The sequence below is a fragment of the Homo sapiens genome, chromosome 11, assembly GCF_000001405.40.
Source record: "Homo sapiens chromosome 11, GRCh38.p14 Primary Assembly".
Lineage (NCBI taxonomy): Eukaryota > Metazoa > Chordata > Mammalia > Primates > Hominidae > Homo > Homo sapiens.
In genome coordinates, this window is record NC_000011.10 from 114,096,285 (window position 1) to 114,111,810 (window position 15,526).

The 15,526-nt window shown below is 43.6% G+C and overlaps 1 protein-coding gene across 7 annotated transcripts in view, besides 1 other annotated feature; it reads left to right on the forward strand.

The window, feature by feature from the left end:
• The window catches only part of ZBTB16 (zinc finger and BTB domain containing 16), a 197,060-nt gene that overhangs the window by 36,574 nt on the left and 144,960 nt on the right, over positions 1 to 15,526 (forward strand). The gene's annotated exons all lie outside the window — the stretch shown is intronic.
• Positions 14,949 to 15,149: a silencer, noted in NCBI's record as "peak1475 fragment used in MPRA reporter construct". NCBI's record gives its function as "represses an SCP1 promoter by STARR-seq MPRAs in K562 erythroleukemia cells {active_cell/tissue: K562}" and the evidence as "EXISTENCE:reporter gene assay evidence [ECO:0000049][PMID:32103011]".

A 15,526-nucleotide genomic window follows, 5' to 3' on the forward strand; every position in this document is an offset into this window, starting at 1 on the left:
CATTAAAATTCGGAGGTTTTGACTTATCTATTATTTCTGATTTGTGGTAAGACATAAGCCTCTAAAATATGCTATCTTAAAGAGATACACACAAATTTTATCTTAGCATGTTAAGTTTTTAAGCCGTTGAGAGATGGGAGAATAGACCTCTGTGGTCTCCTGTGTGCTTCTTCGTCCTAAAATGTCAGCATGCTGGTTTTCATGTGCTGCCTCGTACAGTAAGTCCCCAGCAGATTTAAATAAGGTTGTGTCAAAACATATGCCTATGTTTTTTTAAACATCGTTGTCTCATAAGTGTGCAGTAATGGCATATTGAGACTGTTCATAGACTGGTCAGCTGCATTTCCTGCAGCCGAGGAACCCTTTATTAAGGTGCATTTCTGGGGTTGAACTAAAACTGCTCACCCCCATCAAATGAGGAAACTTGAGGGGTTTGCAGCCCAGCATTTTACGGGCACTTTTGCGACTGTGTACCCTTGCGTGGCTTCCCGCTTCAGCGACATTGTTGACTTCAGTTTTCTAATCTAATTCTTTTTTTCTTTTTTGGTTTTGATGAGAGTGTTGGATACCAAAGCACAAACGATGGATTCCTTTTGAAAGAACAAAAACATATTTTGTGAGCAGTTTTACTTCTGGGAGTGTTATGTGTATACACACACACACACACCCCCTAAATAATTGAAAGCAGGAACTTGAACAGATATTTGCACACCCATGTTCATAGCAGCATTAGCCAAAATAGCCAAAAGGTGGAAATAATTCAAATGTTCATTGACCCATGGATAAATTGACAAAATGTGGTATATACATATAGTGGAATATTATTCAGCCTTAACAAGGAAGGAAATTCTGACACATGGTACAACACAGATTAACTTTGAGGGCATTATACTAGGTGAAATAAGCTAGATAGCAAAGGACAGATAGTGTATGGTGCCATCTATATGAGGCATCTGTGCTTATATAAAGCAAATTTGTAGAAACACGAACTAGAATAGATGTTGCCAGGAGCTGGGGAGAGAGGGGAATGGGGAGTTAAGGTTGAGTGGGTACAGAGTTTCAGTTGGGGGAGATGAAAAAGTTCTGTGGCTGGATGGTAGTAATGGTTACACAACATCAGGAGTGTACTAAATGACACTGATCTGTACACTTAGAATCTTTAAAATGGTAAATTTTAGTTACATAGTTTTACTACAATAAAAATGTATTTTATGTTAATTGCAATACTTGGCATTTGAGAAAAAATTCTTAGAAAATACTGAGAATATCATACTGATAAAAACCCTCTGCTAAATTTTTTTTAAAAAAAACACACATCGCCTGTACTCCTGAGTATCAGCGATCAGTCTAGCGTTGCCCTTTAACTATCATTATTGTTATTGTTAAAGTGATTTTTATTAAGTGCTATCTCTCAAGTGGTATGATTACTTGTTGAGGTCTTGTGTTGGTATTTGTCATGTGATTCTAGAAAAATCTCCCCCTTTTTGGCTCTGAGACATTCTCTAGTTGACCTCTTCCCAGAGAGAAGTTAAGGAAAATCTTCCGCTCTGATTTTTTTTTCTTTCTGCACTTAAATAATTAAATAATATCTGTGGCCTTACAACACAGGGAGGTTTCAGTGAGGAAGAAAATTCAACTGCATTTGCAAAATGTCTGAAAATTATGGGAGAGATGTTTCTGCTTTTAGACTTGGTACGTATGTGGTCAGGTTTTCAGAGGTTTTCTATTCACCATCTGTGACGGGCCTTGTCTCCTCCTGCAACTGGTGGCAGATGTAGCCAGAGATTTTGTGAGCTTCTCAACAGCATCTTTTTCCTGCTCTTCTTCCCTTCCTCTTTGTTTGGTTTTTATTCACATGAAAATTTAAAGACCCATAAGGAAATTCAAAGTGAAAATCTATGCCCAAATAAGTCAGGATCTCAAGATGAAAATATAAGTTCTGGAAATGGAAGTTTCCTCTGCCCCCGTGGTGGTATCATAGCCAGCAGCCTCGTTCTGTGCTTTTGAAGGTTTAATGGCCTGCATGTGAAGGTAGGGGCGCACTATATATATAGTACCAGGCGTGTGGGCGCACTGGCACGGATCTGAAAAAGCGTAAGTTTGGCATTTCTAGGTTTATTTTAAACTTACAACCTTTAACGCCAGACACAGAGCTTCTTTCCCACTTAATGTAACTATACATTGATTGCTTTTAATTAGTGTTGGATCTTTTTTGGTGTTTTGCAGCTTGGGATATATAAAAAGTCTGACTTAAATTAAAAAAAAAAAAAAAGCTAACTCCTGACATTCTCACGAGTCTTGCAAAAACCAGCACGGGAGCCTTAGAAATTCTAACCTCCTCGTCCTCTTTATTTTTATCTTGAGTCAGGTGGGCCAAGAAGCAAGGGAAGAGTCCAATATAACATACTTAATGGATGGAGGTAATTTCCTTGGACTGTTTTGGCAGAAATTAAGCATCTGTATTTAGATAAAGGTAGTGGTGGGTTGGATTTTCATAGCATAAGCATAGTTGCTGAAGATCAATAATATCAAATAATGGGTTCTTGGTGAGGGGAAAAGGAAATGGGGGAGGGGTCTTTTCACTCAACAGTTTGGAAATGCTAATGATTATTTGTGGTTTTCAGCCCAGAATTCTTCATATTTGCTTGCAAGCTTCTATGGCACTGCCGAATTCTACAGTAAATATTTCGGACATCCTCAGCCCTGTTCTCCTTTCCCTTCAGTAAATTACATATTAAAGTAGCCTGGTAACTGAGCACTGGTTGCTGTGAGATAAGGGCTGGGAAATCAATATGTTTGCCATGTGGCTGCTTGTTTATGACACCTGCCTCTAGAACAGTTGAGCAATGTTCTGTTTGTTAAAGCTGCATTTCAGAAGCTTGTATCCTCCTAAAACAACCGTGATCTTACTGGGGGAGAGAGAGGTGCTACAACAGATATTGATTTTAGTTTTTCTAAGTATGGAATTACACTTCTAAACAGTGGTCTTACAGCCTGTGATTTTTTCCCCATGAGGAGGAGATGTAGATACTCTGAATATATATATACACATACACACATATATAAAATAAATCTATTTTATAATGTTTATGATGTGGTCAGTTAAAAAAGGAGTGTAGTTTATAATAAGGAAGTGTAGGTATTATTTAGATTTATCTCCTCTCTTGGCACCTGGCTTAAAAAAAAAAAAAGTAGTAACAAGAAACATAGCAGCTGCTGGGAAACATGCATTTTAATCTAAGTCTCCAGTGTGGTTTTAGTTTAACCAGTGGATGATACTGTAGTCTCAAGGCTTAGCCTGCTGGTGAGTCAATGGTTCTTAAAGCTGTGTGGTGTCAGCTCAAGTGAGCGAAGCAGTGTGTGGTGTGTGTGCATTGGAGGGTGAGGGGTATGAGGAGGTAGTCAGCCTTGGAGGGAGAAGGGAGACAGGCTAGGTCTTCTTCACGTGGCCTTCCATTTTGGAAAACAGAAGCGATGATACAACTTCTCTTCTTGCCCAAGGGATTCAGTAGAAAAAAATACATTTCCAAACACATTGCGCTACAGTCATTGAACTTCAAAGTGTAAAGCATGGATTGTGTTGGTGCACTTGTGGGTGCCCATGACACACACTCTTCAATGCTCCTGTGCCTTCCTAAGAGGTGTCTGTCTTTCTCAACCCCAGTGTGTGTCCTCTGACGTCTAGTGGATTGCTGCATACACAGTCAACCCTCCTTAAAAGGTTTAAAAAGAAACATGAGCTCCCTTTTAGAGCACCCCAAAGCAGCTGCATTCTTGAGTTGGTGCCCTGCACTGGGATTCCCATGGACTGGGAACATGATCTCTTAATGACACTAATATATTCTGAGATCTGATTTTTTGTTTGTGTGTTTTTTAACCCAGGTTGGCAGGTTCTCCTTAATCAGTAGTGGCAAAATGTCTCTTTCCTTTCTCCACGTAATGCTAAATGGCTTATCCAGTCATCTCTCTCTGCTCATGGTCAGCCCGAGGTGACAGTTAAAATTGGATGGAGGTAGCTTGGGGTAGGAAGACTTGGTGATTTTGGCGGCACTGGGTCAAACCCAGGGAAACTGAAGCTGTGTCTGCACAGCTGGTTGAAAGGCTGTGTTGTGATCCAGGGATTTAAGTAAAAATATTCTTTCCTTACCACCCTCTATGCCCCCTACTCCCCAGTAATATAGTAGGCATGGGGGTTGACTTATTTTGAGGGGACTAGTATGTATTTAATATTTCATCTAATTTTTGTAGCCCTGGCCTGGCTGGATGACAAAAGTGTTTAAACTAAGACCGATTTGAGCAAGTATTTTATCCTCCCTCTCGGGAGACTATGGGCATAGAACGGTGTGGGGATTTGGAGGTGCTGGCAAGTCTGGCCCCTTTCCTCTTGCGTTTACTCAGGCACAGATGGAAAAAGATGAAACTCAATGAGGACCCTTTTGTGAGATGCGGCACATTTCGCTTTGTGGAATTATTAACCTTTTATAAGACTGGGATACTTACAAACTTACCGCAGGACCAGACAGTGACTATCAGAATCCTCTCTTCTAAAGATCAGCGATCTACAGCTTTCGCAAAACTTAAGGCTGACTTGGGAATCTAGACAGCCCCTAGTATGGTGAGTGACCCTAGAGTGGTTTTTAATGAGGAGATACTCACGGGAGCCAGCATCTCGGGGGTCCCCGGGGGGTTCATGGCCAGGAGCGTTGCAAGCTGGTTTGTTTGTTTGTTTGTTTTGAGACAGGGTCTTACTCTGTTGCTCAGGCTGGAGTGCAGTGGCATAATCTCGGCTCACTGCAACCTTGCTTGCTCTCCCTGGCTCAAGCAATTCTCCCACATTAGCCTCCCAAGTAGCTGGGATTACAGGTGTATGCCACCACAGCCTGCTAATTTTTAAGTTTTTTGTAGAGATGAGGTTTCACTGCATTGCCTAGGCTGATCTTGAACTCCTGGGCTCAAACAATCTTCCCTCCTTGTCCTCTTAAAGTGCTGGGATTACAGGTGTGAGCCACAGCGCGAGGCCTTGTTTGGTGTTTTTGTTTGTTTGTTTGTTTGTTTTATGGATCATTACCTATAAAGTAATTTAGAATACCCACTCATTTATGATCCAGCCTTCCCTGCATTTTCTAGCGTTGAGGTCCTTTGGGGCCATAGAAGTATGTTTTTCCAAGACTGATTGCTTCGTGTATTTAACCAGGTTTTTTGTGAAGGGTTTGATATAAACTGAGTGACTGAAGAGAGGAACATGGTGTGATTTGGTAGAAAGATCTGTAATTTTGGAGTCAAGACTGGCCTAGATGGACAGCTTGGCCACTTTTAAAATTTTGTGTCCTTAGCCCCATAAACATTTTGAGATTCAGTTTTCTCTCCTGTGAATTGGGGACGATATTGCCTAACTTGTAAGGTTCTTGCAAAGATCAAATGAAAAAATACACATAGATCTCCTGGCTATTATTGGAGTGCCCAGTAAATGCTAGTTGCCTTATCCTCCATTTTCTTTTTGAGAGCTGAAGACCTGATTTTATTTCCTTGCATTTTTCATGTCATTGCCTATAGGGAGATACATTCATATATTTGTTGCTCATTTTTGTATGTGTTACAGTGGTGATAAAGAAACTGATGGTATCCCAGATGGGGAGGGGCAGGTAAGGTTTTATCAGTGGCTTTTAATTTCTTTATGAAATTGGATGTGGCTCTAGGGAATAGATGTCTCTGGGATGGTCATGTTTTCCCTTGCCTTTTGGCTCCTGCAATGAGGACCTCTTTCTGTTGGTGTGGGTCTTGTCTGAGCATGCCAGGGATGGCAGTGAACACATCGATGGTGGTTGGGACGTCCTCATTCCCAGACCTCTGGGACATACTAATTCCCAGACCTCTGAAACATGGGTCTCAGCTGCTTTGCCCTGCAGACTTGTTCTCAGTAGCTATTTACCTTTAGGAGAAAAAAAAAATCCTTAACCAAATGCTTTAGGAAGGCTTTCTTATCGTGGCTGTAAGGTGCTGGTGGGTTGTTGGCAGCCAAGTTTGGGTTTAAATCTCACTGGGGGTTGAGGCTGCTGAACTGCTATTCCTAACATGCTCTTGTGTTTTTATGCATAGACCGTCTTCTGGATCCTTGGTGAGTTTTTTTTACTCTGGGGTTTTCAGGAGAAAGGTTTGTCATTCATCATCACTCTTCTCCTTCATCACAGCAGTGGTAACAGTGGTTAGAGGGAGGAGGTAGAATCAGTTGTTCAAGTTCTTTTTTCTTCCAGGTAAGTCCCCCCCACCCCCCGGCTGCCCCTGCCCTTCCGCATTTTCTGGGAAGTGAATCTATTGGGAAATGCATGGGCCTGTGTTTCTGGGATGATTTTAGCATATGTAGTAAGAGGGGTGCTTTTTGCTGATAGCCCAGGCGTTGGTCCTGTAATCCTGAGGTGTGGTTTAATAAGAGCTGAACAGTCATTTAATTATTTATTGGGTGCCTGGAGAATTTTATAGGCAGGAGAGCCTAGAGCTATTCCAGAAAAAAGGCCAATCCTAGAGCTTTTTGTGTGGCTTTCTTCTTGGGCTTGAAGTTTTTGATGCTCGCCAACATTCATAGTAGCCCCCAATGCCACCCACACATTGGGAAGGGACAATAGAGCCAGCTAAAGCTCTTTCTTTGTGTGTGCCCATATTAACCCATCTAGTCAAATGTGGGTACCCTTCCAAACCATTATGTCTTGTTCCTCTCGGCTGCTGGGAACATTAAAAGAACCTTATTTGAAGGCAAACATTACTGTATCAGTGATGCTGAAACTGGAGGTCTGTCAATGGCACTTCATTGCATTGATAATTGTTTCTGCTTTGAACCACAACACTGTGATTATTGAGGTTCGACTGTAAGGGCTGAGGGAGCCTTGAGGCCATTGAAAGCATTCTCCTGCCTTTAGGCCAGGCCTATGTTATAAGTGAGAGACAGGTGTGGAGTGTGCAGGGAGGGAATTAAGATAGATGGTGACCTGGAATTCAGAAGGTGGACCCCCACCACCCCCCAGCCTGAGACCAAAGCACAGTTTAACTCTGTCATGGGTCATGTGCAGAGGGAAGGGACTGCCCCAGAATTAGCAGTTGGCTGAACACCCTGCTTAAAAACTTTTTCTTTTCCTTTTTTTGTGAGTACCGTCCGCTTGGACTAAAGAAGTTTTGGTCGTTGTTTTCTTAATTTTGGGCTACAGAGTCTCTACCTACATTTGTGTTTTGTGTTTTGGTAACCACATGTAACAGCCGGTGGAATCTTTTTTCTCTTTGCTTTCTCTGAACTTTCCAAAGAGTAGGCCCCTATCTCTCGGGGGATTAACTCCTCGTGGCCCCTGGGTCGTTGGTGCTCCCCCACCCTGTGTCAGCATCTAAACCTCTGCACACAGGATGTTTTCTCTAGCGCTTATCAGATGCTTTAGAAGATGCGGGGTGGAGATAGAGGTAACGTTTAACCCATCCTGGATTCCTTTCATGAACTCAGCCACAGAGCAGAGGGAGGCTTGGCTGGAGCAAACAATGTTGGGCCTTCTATTTCAAACAGAGGTGTGGGGGCTTGTGGTGGCATCAGTGGTGCACTGAACAACCCTCCCTGACCCTAGCGTGTGGGTTTGGAGCCTGGGGAATCAAAGAGAAATCTAACAAACTATTCTTTTTCACGTGTGGGCTGAATGAATGTGTGGGTTATCCACATCAGTTTCTTCTCTCTTCTCATCCTCCCTCCTTCCTCGCAGACCAGCATTTTGGCCAGGGTGCCCAGTTTGAGCTCATTTACCAAAGGTGAATAGGGAAGGGAGTAGAAACCAAATTAGGCACCTGTCTGACAACACAAGGATCTTTTCTACAATGGTGCATTTGGATTATGCAGAGTTTTAGATTTTCTGTTTTATCCCAGGGTGAACGTGTGTAGAAAACTGGGACCTAACCATGTTCTTCTCTTCAGTCTTATGGTCATTGCTACTTTGAAGGCAGAAAGGATAAAAGTAGCATAGGGAGTGGTTTACCATAACTGCAAGTAAATACCAAGCATGTGCGAGCCTGTAGACATTGCCTGCTATTGGGGAAAGACGGAGTTAGCTGGGGAAATACATCAGTCTTCACTCCCAGCACCCAAGATGTAAACATTTCTTACTCTTCCTGGATCAGGCTATCTCTGCTTTGCCTTTTCTTTCACCTACCTCCTTCTTTCATGGCAGGAAGGGAAAGGGAAGTACCCCCAAGCAGCCAGCAGTCAGCACTGGGGCCTCTAGGGAAGAGTGGATTGGTGTTGTTTTGCTGTGGTTTGCTGTGCGTTTTCCAGAATCTCTCTTGGATGACTATCAGATTCAGTGAAGGGATGGACCTGCAGGAAGCTGAGAGATAGGAGATCCTGTGGCCTGGGAACCCAGAGGCCTGGGCCCTGGGAACAACTCACCACAGGACTCAGCCTGCGAAATAGGAAACATCATTGTAGCTTCTGCATCATGTTTTCCATGTTCCACTGGAAAACCATCTGTTAAATGGACATAGACCAATTCTTGCTTTTCTTCTTTCTGGTACCAAAGAGAACGGTGGTGTCTCTTGTCATCTAGATGTTCTTGTAGGGGCACCAGAGTCATTGCAACCATTTTGAGTAAAGATTGAGTCCACTGGGGCATCAGAAGGGGAGTGTGTCATTGCTGTTGTTACCACACAGGCCGTGGTACTTGCCTTTTCCTGACCCATTTTGCAGAGCAGGCCAGCTACTTAACCCCTCGCCACCCACTCACCTGTGGAAGGCACATTTGCAAAACAATAGACCAGTTGGTAATTTGGCACTTGTTAGGTAGACATAGTGGTACATTGAGGAAGTTCCTCCTGTTAACTAACCTAGTTTTTCTTGCTGTAATCCGAATATACTTCTCTGATTTTTTGAAAAAGCCTGTGAGTGGAGCCTGGCTCGACAGCCCAAAACGCTGAATTAATTCTGTCTCTCTCTCTCTCTCTTTTTTTTTTTTGAGACGTGGAGTCTCGCTCTGTCACCCAGGCTGGAATGCGCTGGCACGATCTCGGCTCACTGCAACTTCCACCTCCTGGGTCCAAGCAATTCTCCTGCCTCAGCCTCCCAAGTAGCTGGGACTACAGGCATTGCCACTACGCCCAGCTAATTTTTGTATTTTTAATAGAGACGGGGTTTCGCCGTGTTGGCCAGGCTGGTCTCAAACTCCTGATCTCAGGTGATCCACCAGCCTTGGCATCCCAAAATGCTGGGACTGCAGGAATGAGCCACCGCGCCCGACCCAATTCTCTTGAGTGACATGCTGAGTGGGGCTGCTTTTTGGTGGAGGTAACAAAAAAAGAGTTGAGGTATTGATTTTAGTTTCATTTGAGACAGCGATCTGTCCCCTCCCTGAGTTCCCTCGTTTGTTTGTAAACTGCTTAAATGAACTTTTTCCCCTGTTCCTCCATCACTCTGCTGTTCTCTTCTCCTCCTCTTATCCTAACAGTCTCATAGGTAAACTTAGAAGGAAGACAAATACTTACAAATTGTCACCGAGGGTACCATAAAAGAGACATTTGGACAGTAGTTCTGGGGAGATCCTTGTCTTTGCTTCATGTTAATACAGAGGGATTGGGGTAGCCCAGATCACCAGGGGAAAGTGGTTTTTCTTCATTTAGCTTTTAATTGCTTTCTTTCACTTTTATGTATAAAAGATTGTCCATTTAATTAACTCAAGAATGCAATTTCAAAAACACTAATGCTTTACACATGACGGCTTTTAAAATAAAAGTAGCATTCTAATATTGCATAATGCTTTTCTATCCCCTTCCTCTCCCCGCGTTCACCCCCACCCCTCCAGACTGTATTAACCTTTCATAGCGGAGGGTTGTTAGGAGGAAAACGCTGTTCTGGATGGTGCCTCTCTGCCTCTCCTTCCCACCAACCAAGTACAGCAGCACGACAGCCGCAGGCCTTTCTGAAGTGTTCCGTAGCTTCTGTAAGAAAGAGACTACTCATCCCTTCCCCCTTGGCCGGTTTCATGCCTATATTTACCCTCTTTTGGGGGTCACTGTGGCTCCTACTCCCATTGCTGCCTTTTAAGAAGCATCATTATGATGGATTACATGGGAAAATTAAAAAGAAAATAAAACCCCAACATTTAGCTCTGGTTTCTTTTGAATAATTTCATTAGAAGAAACTTGTATACATTGGTCTATGATTTCACGATCTTCTTTTTTTTTTTTTTTTGAGACAGAGTCTTGCTCTGGCACCCAGGCTTGAATGCAGTGGCACGATCTCAGCTCACTGCAGTCTCCACCTCCTGGGTTCAAGCGATTCTCCTGCCTCAGCCTCCCAAGTAGCTGGGACTATAGGCCTGCACCACCATGCCTGGCTAATTTTTAAAATTTTTTTAGTAGAGTTGGGGATTCACCATGTTGGCCAGGCTGATCTTAAACTCCTGACCTCAAGTGATCCTCCCACCTCAGCCGCCCAAAGTGCCGGGGTTACAGGCATGAGCCACTGTGCCTGTCCCATCTTCTCTTTTCTGATGGAAAAGAAATCTAGCTCTTTTTCATTCCTTTTTATCCTGCTTCCAAAATGTTGTGACTTCCCTATGGCATTGGTCTTTCTTATTTTGTAATGGAAGTTCCCCTGATTCCAGAATTTTCCCTTTATACCAGCTCTCATAGCCCAGTCCCTGCTAGATGGGCTTTTTATTTTTGAAAGCACAGTAGTTTCGACGAGTTTTATTTTCAACAGTTAGACTTGGGAAGGGGCAGGATGCAGATGGAGATAAATGCACATACATATAGATGCCCCTGAGAAAGACAGCTCTGGAACCTGCTAGAGTGATCCCAGCCACGAGGCGCCAGGGCCCTGGTGATCGCTCTGATTTTCTAGGTGAGATAAGGGAATGGAATCACAGAGGGATCAGTGACTTGCGCAAGGTCACGCTGTCAACAAGGGTCATAGCCAGAATGAGATCCACTTCCTAGGTGCATGGGAGGTATAAGCCTCACCTGCCTTGAAGCCTGCTTGTGTTTTGTTTCTGATGATATCCAGAAAAGAACTTTTTAGACCTTGTAATGTGCATTATAAAACACTTCGCATTTAGATCTAACTTCACTCCCTCAAGTCTCAGATTAAGACTGTGTTCTTGTGTTCCGTCCTCCCCAGTGATGAAATGCTTGGTTGTCTAGAGTGAACAAATCCAACAACTCTGCCAAGGGGTTCTCTGTGCAGGTCACTTTTCAAAGGGATCTTTTCTCCCTTGGTGTCTCTCCTCCAAAGAGCATGATTTCTGAGCCTACCAAAGTGATTACTGTGCTAAAATTTCCACCCTAGAAGAACTATTGTGTAGCTGTGAGAAGCGACTAAAAGATTATTTTCTTTTCCCAGGGTGGGTGCGCAACATTGACTTTTTCTCAATGTGTGATGTGGAGATATATGCATCTTGGGAGGAGATGCATAATATGTGTCTGATTCTATAATATGTTGGTAAAAATGACCTTGGTGATGAATAATTTTCAAAGAGAAACAAAGCTGGGCTGAGAAGAGTGGAGCTTGGATTGGAGATGATGTGCAGTCTACATTTTTTGTTTTCTGTTTTATTTGAGGAGAGAGATTTTCAAATTAATTTGGAGTGAACAGAAAATACAGTGGAAATTTGGGACTTTTTTTTTTTTAAAGCCTGTGTTCCTTATAGTGGGATCCCATTTTCACCTCCTCTCCTCCCACCTTTATTATGATGATTATTATCATTATTATTATTAGTTTGTACTCAGGAAGCATTGTAAAAGATGCTGGGAGGGTTTGAATGCTGCTTGTGAGAGGAAAGGATGAGGAGACCATACGGCTTTATCATTCATTAATTCCTGGGTTCATTCATTGAGCTATTTAAACTTCTGTGTGTAAGACGGCAGCCCCAGATGGTCTTTTGGTGCCTGCATTAGCTCTGAGACCCCAGGCCCGGACAAAAGAGGGTGCACAGAGCAGCTGAGTGTGCAGAATGTTTCCAGCCGTTAGAAAGCTGCTCCCGAGTCTTTCAGCTCAGGAGCTAGAACACCTATCATCTCCAGCATCTAGAGAATCCCTTTTCAGGTCTTTTTCCTTTCTAAAAGGCTCAGTGCGAATCTGTGAGCCAGCTTCTATTACTGCAGCAGTAGTCACAGTATCTAATTTTTAGAGTGAAATTGATGGCCACGGGCTTATTTGCAGGTCTTCTTAGTAATTGCTCTCTGTCTTCTTGTTCTGGAAGGAGTTCTGTTAACACTGGTGAAAACTTTGAGCTCATCTCCCTTCTTCCCCCTCCACATTCCCCTTCCCTGCTCAACTCTCTAAAAGACCTGCAGCTATTAAGAAATTTCCAGTCTGGGCTGATGAGGCTAGATGGGGGTGGCTGCCTGGGTTGAACACCTACCGTCTGCCCGCCTCTGAATGCAGCGATGGTACACACAGCCCCATTCAGTCCCTGCAACAGGCCTCTGGCATCCTGGCATTACCGATGAGAAACTTCAGCTTTACAGAGAAGTTCAAAGAGGTTAGATGTTCAGCTCATGCTTTTAAGGTCGGTAGCTGGAAATCAAATGCAGGTTTTCCCGATTGCTTGGCCTGAGCTCTTAATGCCTTCTTGGATTTCTTTGTGGCTATTGGGACAGGCTGGCCTCAGTGTTGATGGGCAGGTAAGGGTACCCAGCCAGTCCTAGCTTCACTAAGTTGCCGCTCTGCCTACCTCCTGCGTGTGCTTCCCTAGTGGGGCTGTCCCACTTTTGGAGTGGGGACGGGGCTGATCTGTGTCCTAATCCATAACAGGCCTAATGGAGCTGAGACCTGGCACTGCAGGAGCGGAGGCTTTGGGGTCAGTCAGGTGGAAGAAGGAGAGGAGCATGGGGCATGCCCCATCCTCCAGATGTCTGTTCTTCTAGTGGACTTCACTTTGGCCTTTCAGTAGCTCTCCATCTGAATGTGGCAGTTGTCTCAGGAATTTTGTCCTAGCATTATCTGACTTTATTGCTCTTATAGAAAATGCTGGTTCCCCAGAAATAATAGCTGGTCTGTGGTGAGTGAGGTTGGGTCATTGTGCCTTGAGGTGTGACATCTTCTTTGGCTTAGTCAGGTCTTTGGCTTGACTACAAATGTCTGCGCCTTTTCCTCACATCTCAGATTCTTGCAGCCAGGCTCTGTCCGCCATGCCCTGTTGCTCCTTACTGTTGGAGAGACCTGGAGGTTGGTGGAGTTCTCCAAGGCTGGAGTTGGGGTACACAATGAGGCCGAGATGTTTTGCATAGTTCCTTCCATTGCCCCGATCAGGAATGTGTTCCCGCAGGATGGGTTATGGCCTGGAAGTGAGCCTAATGTAAACATCCTTGCAGAGGCCATCCTCTTAATCAAATAGAAATGGTTTGAGGGATGAGCAACTTGGGGGTGGGGGAGATAGGAAAGGAAGAGTTGGGGGAGGGGAGAGATTTAGGGATTGAACTCAGAGAGAGCTGTCTGGGGGCCATCCTTCCAGCAGTCCTGACAGAAAACTGGCTTCATGGAGTTGGTGCAGTGCAAACTGGAATGATTCTCTTAGGGAACTTGGTTCTCTCAGACAGTGTGGTATGTTGAGGGAAAGGAAGGAAATCATGGTTTGGCTGAACAGCTGGGCAGAGCAGCAAGGGAAACTGAAGTATGTTAGAAGAGCAGGACCGGAGGATAGAGCAGACGGGGGCCACAGGAGGACTTCTGGAAGGAGCCCACAATTCAACTCCTTTGAGGGCCTTCAACATCTATTTAACGTTGTAACATTTTGAAATTCTATTTTGAGGGGACTAGACTCTCAGAGAAGGGGCGTGAAGAATGTGGGGGACTTAGGTGCAAATGTGTGTGCTGGGGGGCGGTATTTAGGGCTCTTGGTGGAGCCCCTCATGTCATGGAGAAGCGAACCCTTTCCACTGTGCCCCCACCCCCTTTTCCTAGCCCTATGAAGGGCTCAGACTTTCTTGGAGATGTGGAGCATTTCAGCCAGACCCTACGGTCAAAGATCAGTCACAGAGCAGTCTTCTGTGGCAACCTGTGCACAGTCCCCCAAGGCAGCAATCTGGGGTCACCAGGGAAGTTACTGTTACTAATCTGACCTGGGAAGTTTTCTTTTTCGTAGGGGAATCTAGAAATACTCCAGGGAAAGCCACGGCCAAGCCTTTGCCCAGCCAGTAAACTTTTAGGGCTTTTGCGTGAGGTTGGTTTAGAAGAATTTGCCGATGCCAAGGCTGCTATGTTGGTTTCACTGATGCAGATTTAAAGAAGGAGGGCCAGTGAGACCTCGGGAATAGGAAGGCAGAGGAAACCTTTCTATTCTGATGTCTTCAAGTCTTGGTGCTTGAATGTGCCAAGGAGAGTGAGGATGTAAATAATTTAGTTTGCCTTCAGGATGCAGGATCTAATCTAAACATGATTAAGCTGATTTGATTTTATAGATTGGAATTTATAAGTGATAGAAACTGATGAGGTTAATGTGAAATATTTACGTAATAAAAAGCTTCATTACCTGATGCTGAAGGGTAGAGGGAGAAAATATTCTTGGCAACATGTTTAATCTTTTGGAAATGAAGTTGGGTTAAAGTTTTCTTTGTAAAAACTGAATTCTGTGATCTTGTTTTTACACATGCTGTGCTTAAATATTAACACCAATTGAGCAAATTGCCTTTTAACTGCCTTTATTTGCTTTCATTAACAGTATAATTTAAAAGCTCAAGAATTTGCATGGAACCTGTTGTGCATGTTGGGGGGAAAACTATTCATAAATTAATTAATCGTGAGAACATTATCTTTAAGGAAGGTCACAAAACATGAGCATGATTTCCAAAAAGCAGTGACATGTTTTTGCCGTTTCTTGGGGACGTGATGTACTTTTGGCTTAGAGATCTGTGCTGCGTGTGTGTGTGTGTGTGTGTGTGTGCACGCGCGAGATAACTTGGCTGGATCAAGAAAAATTTTAATGACTGGGCATGTTTTAAGTTAAGTTGAGTGAACCTAATTACACTGTAGTTTCCAGAGAGCTAAAGGCAATAATACCATTGGTATTTAAGCACTAGTTTGAAAATTAAAGCCAACCTATATAATTGGCTGTGCTCCTTAGATGGTTTATTTCTTTCTTCCCTCCATTTCTGAAATCCCCCTTTTCTTTCTCTTTCACATTTAAACCAATAGAGAGAAAGAGAGAAACTGCCTAGCGCTGCGAACCACAAGACGGTCCTTCCAGTGGGGAACATTAACTGCATTGTCCTCTCATGAAATGACGCTAAATAATGTTAAAGGTTTCCAGTATGATTTCACTGAAATTGGTTGCTTCCTTCTGTACAGATGTTTTTGTGGTTTAGAACCTCAGCCAAGGCAAACATTATGAATGAGATGCAGAGACCACCATGTCCTATGAAGGGCTGAGAGTTCCTTTGGGAGTTATTTTACTTGTGATTCTGACACCTCTGTTTTGACAAAGCTTCATTCTTTCAGTCTCTTCTTTCCGTCTCCCTCTCCTGGTGCTATTGGTTTGTTGTGGGTGGTTTTCCTAATTAAGTTAATCTGCAA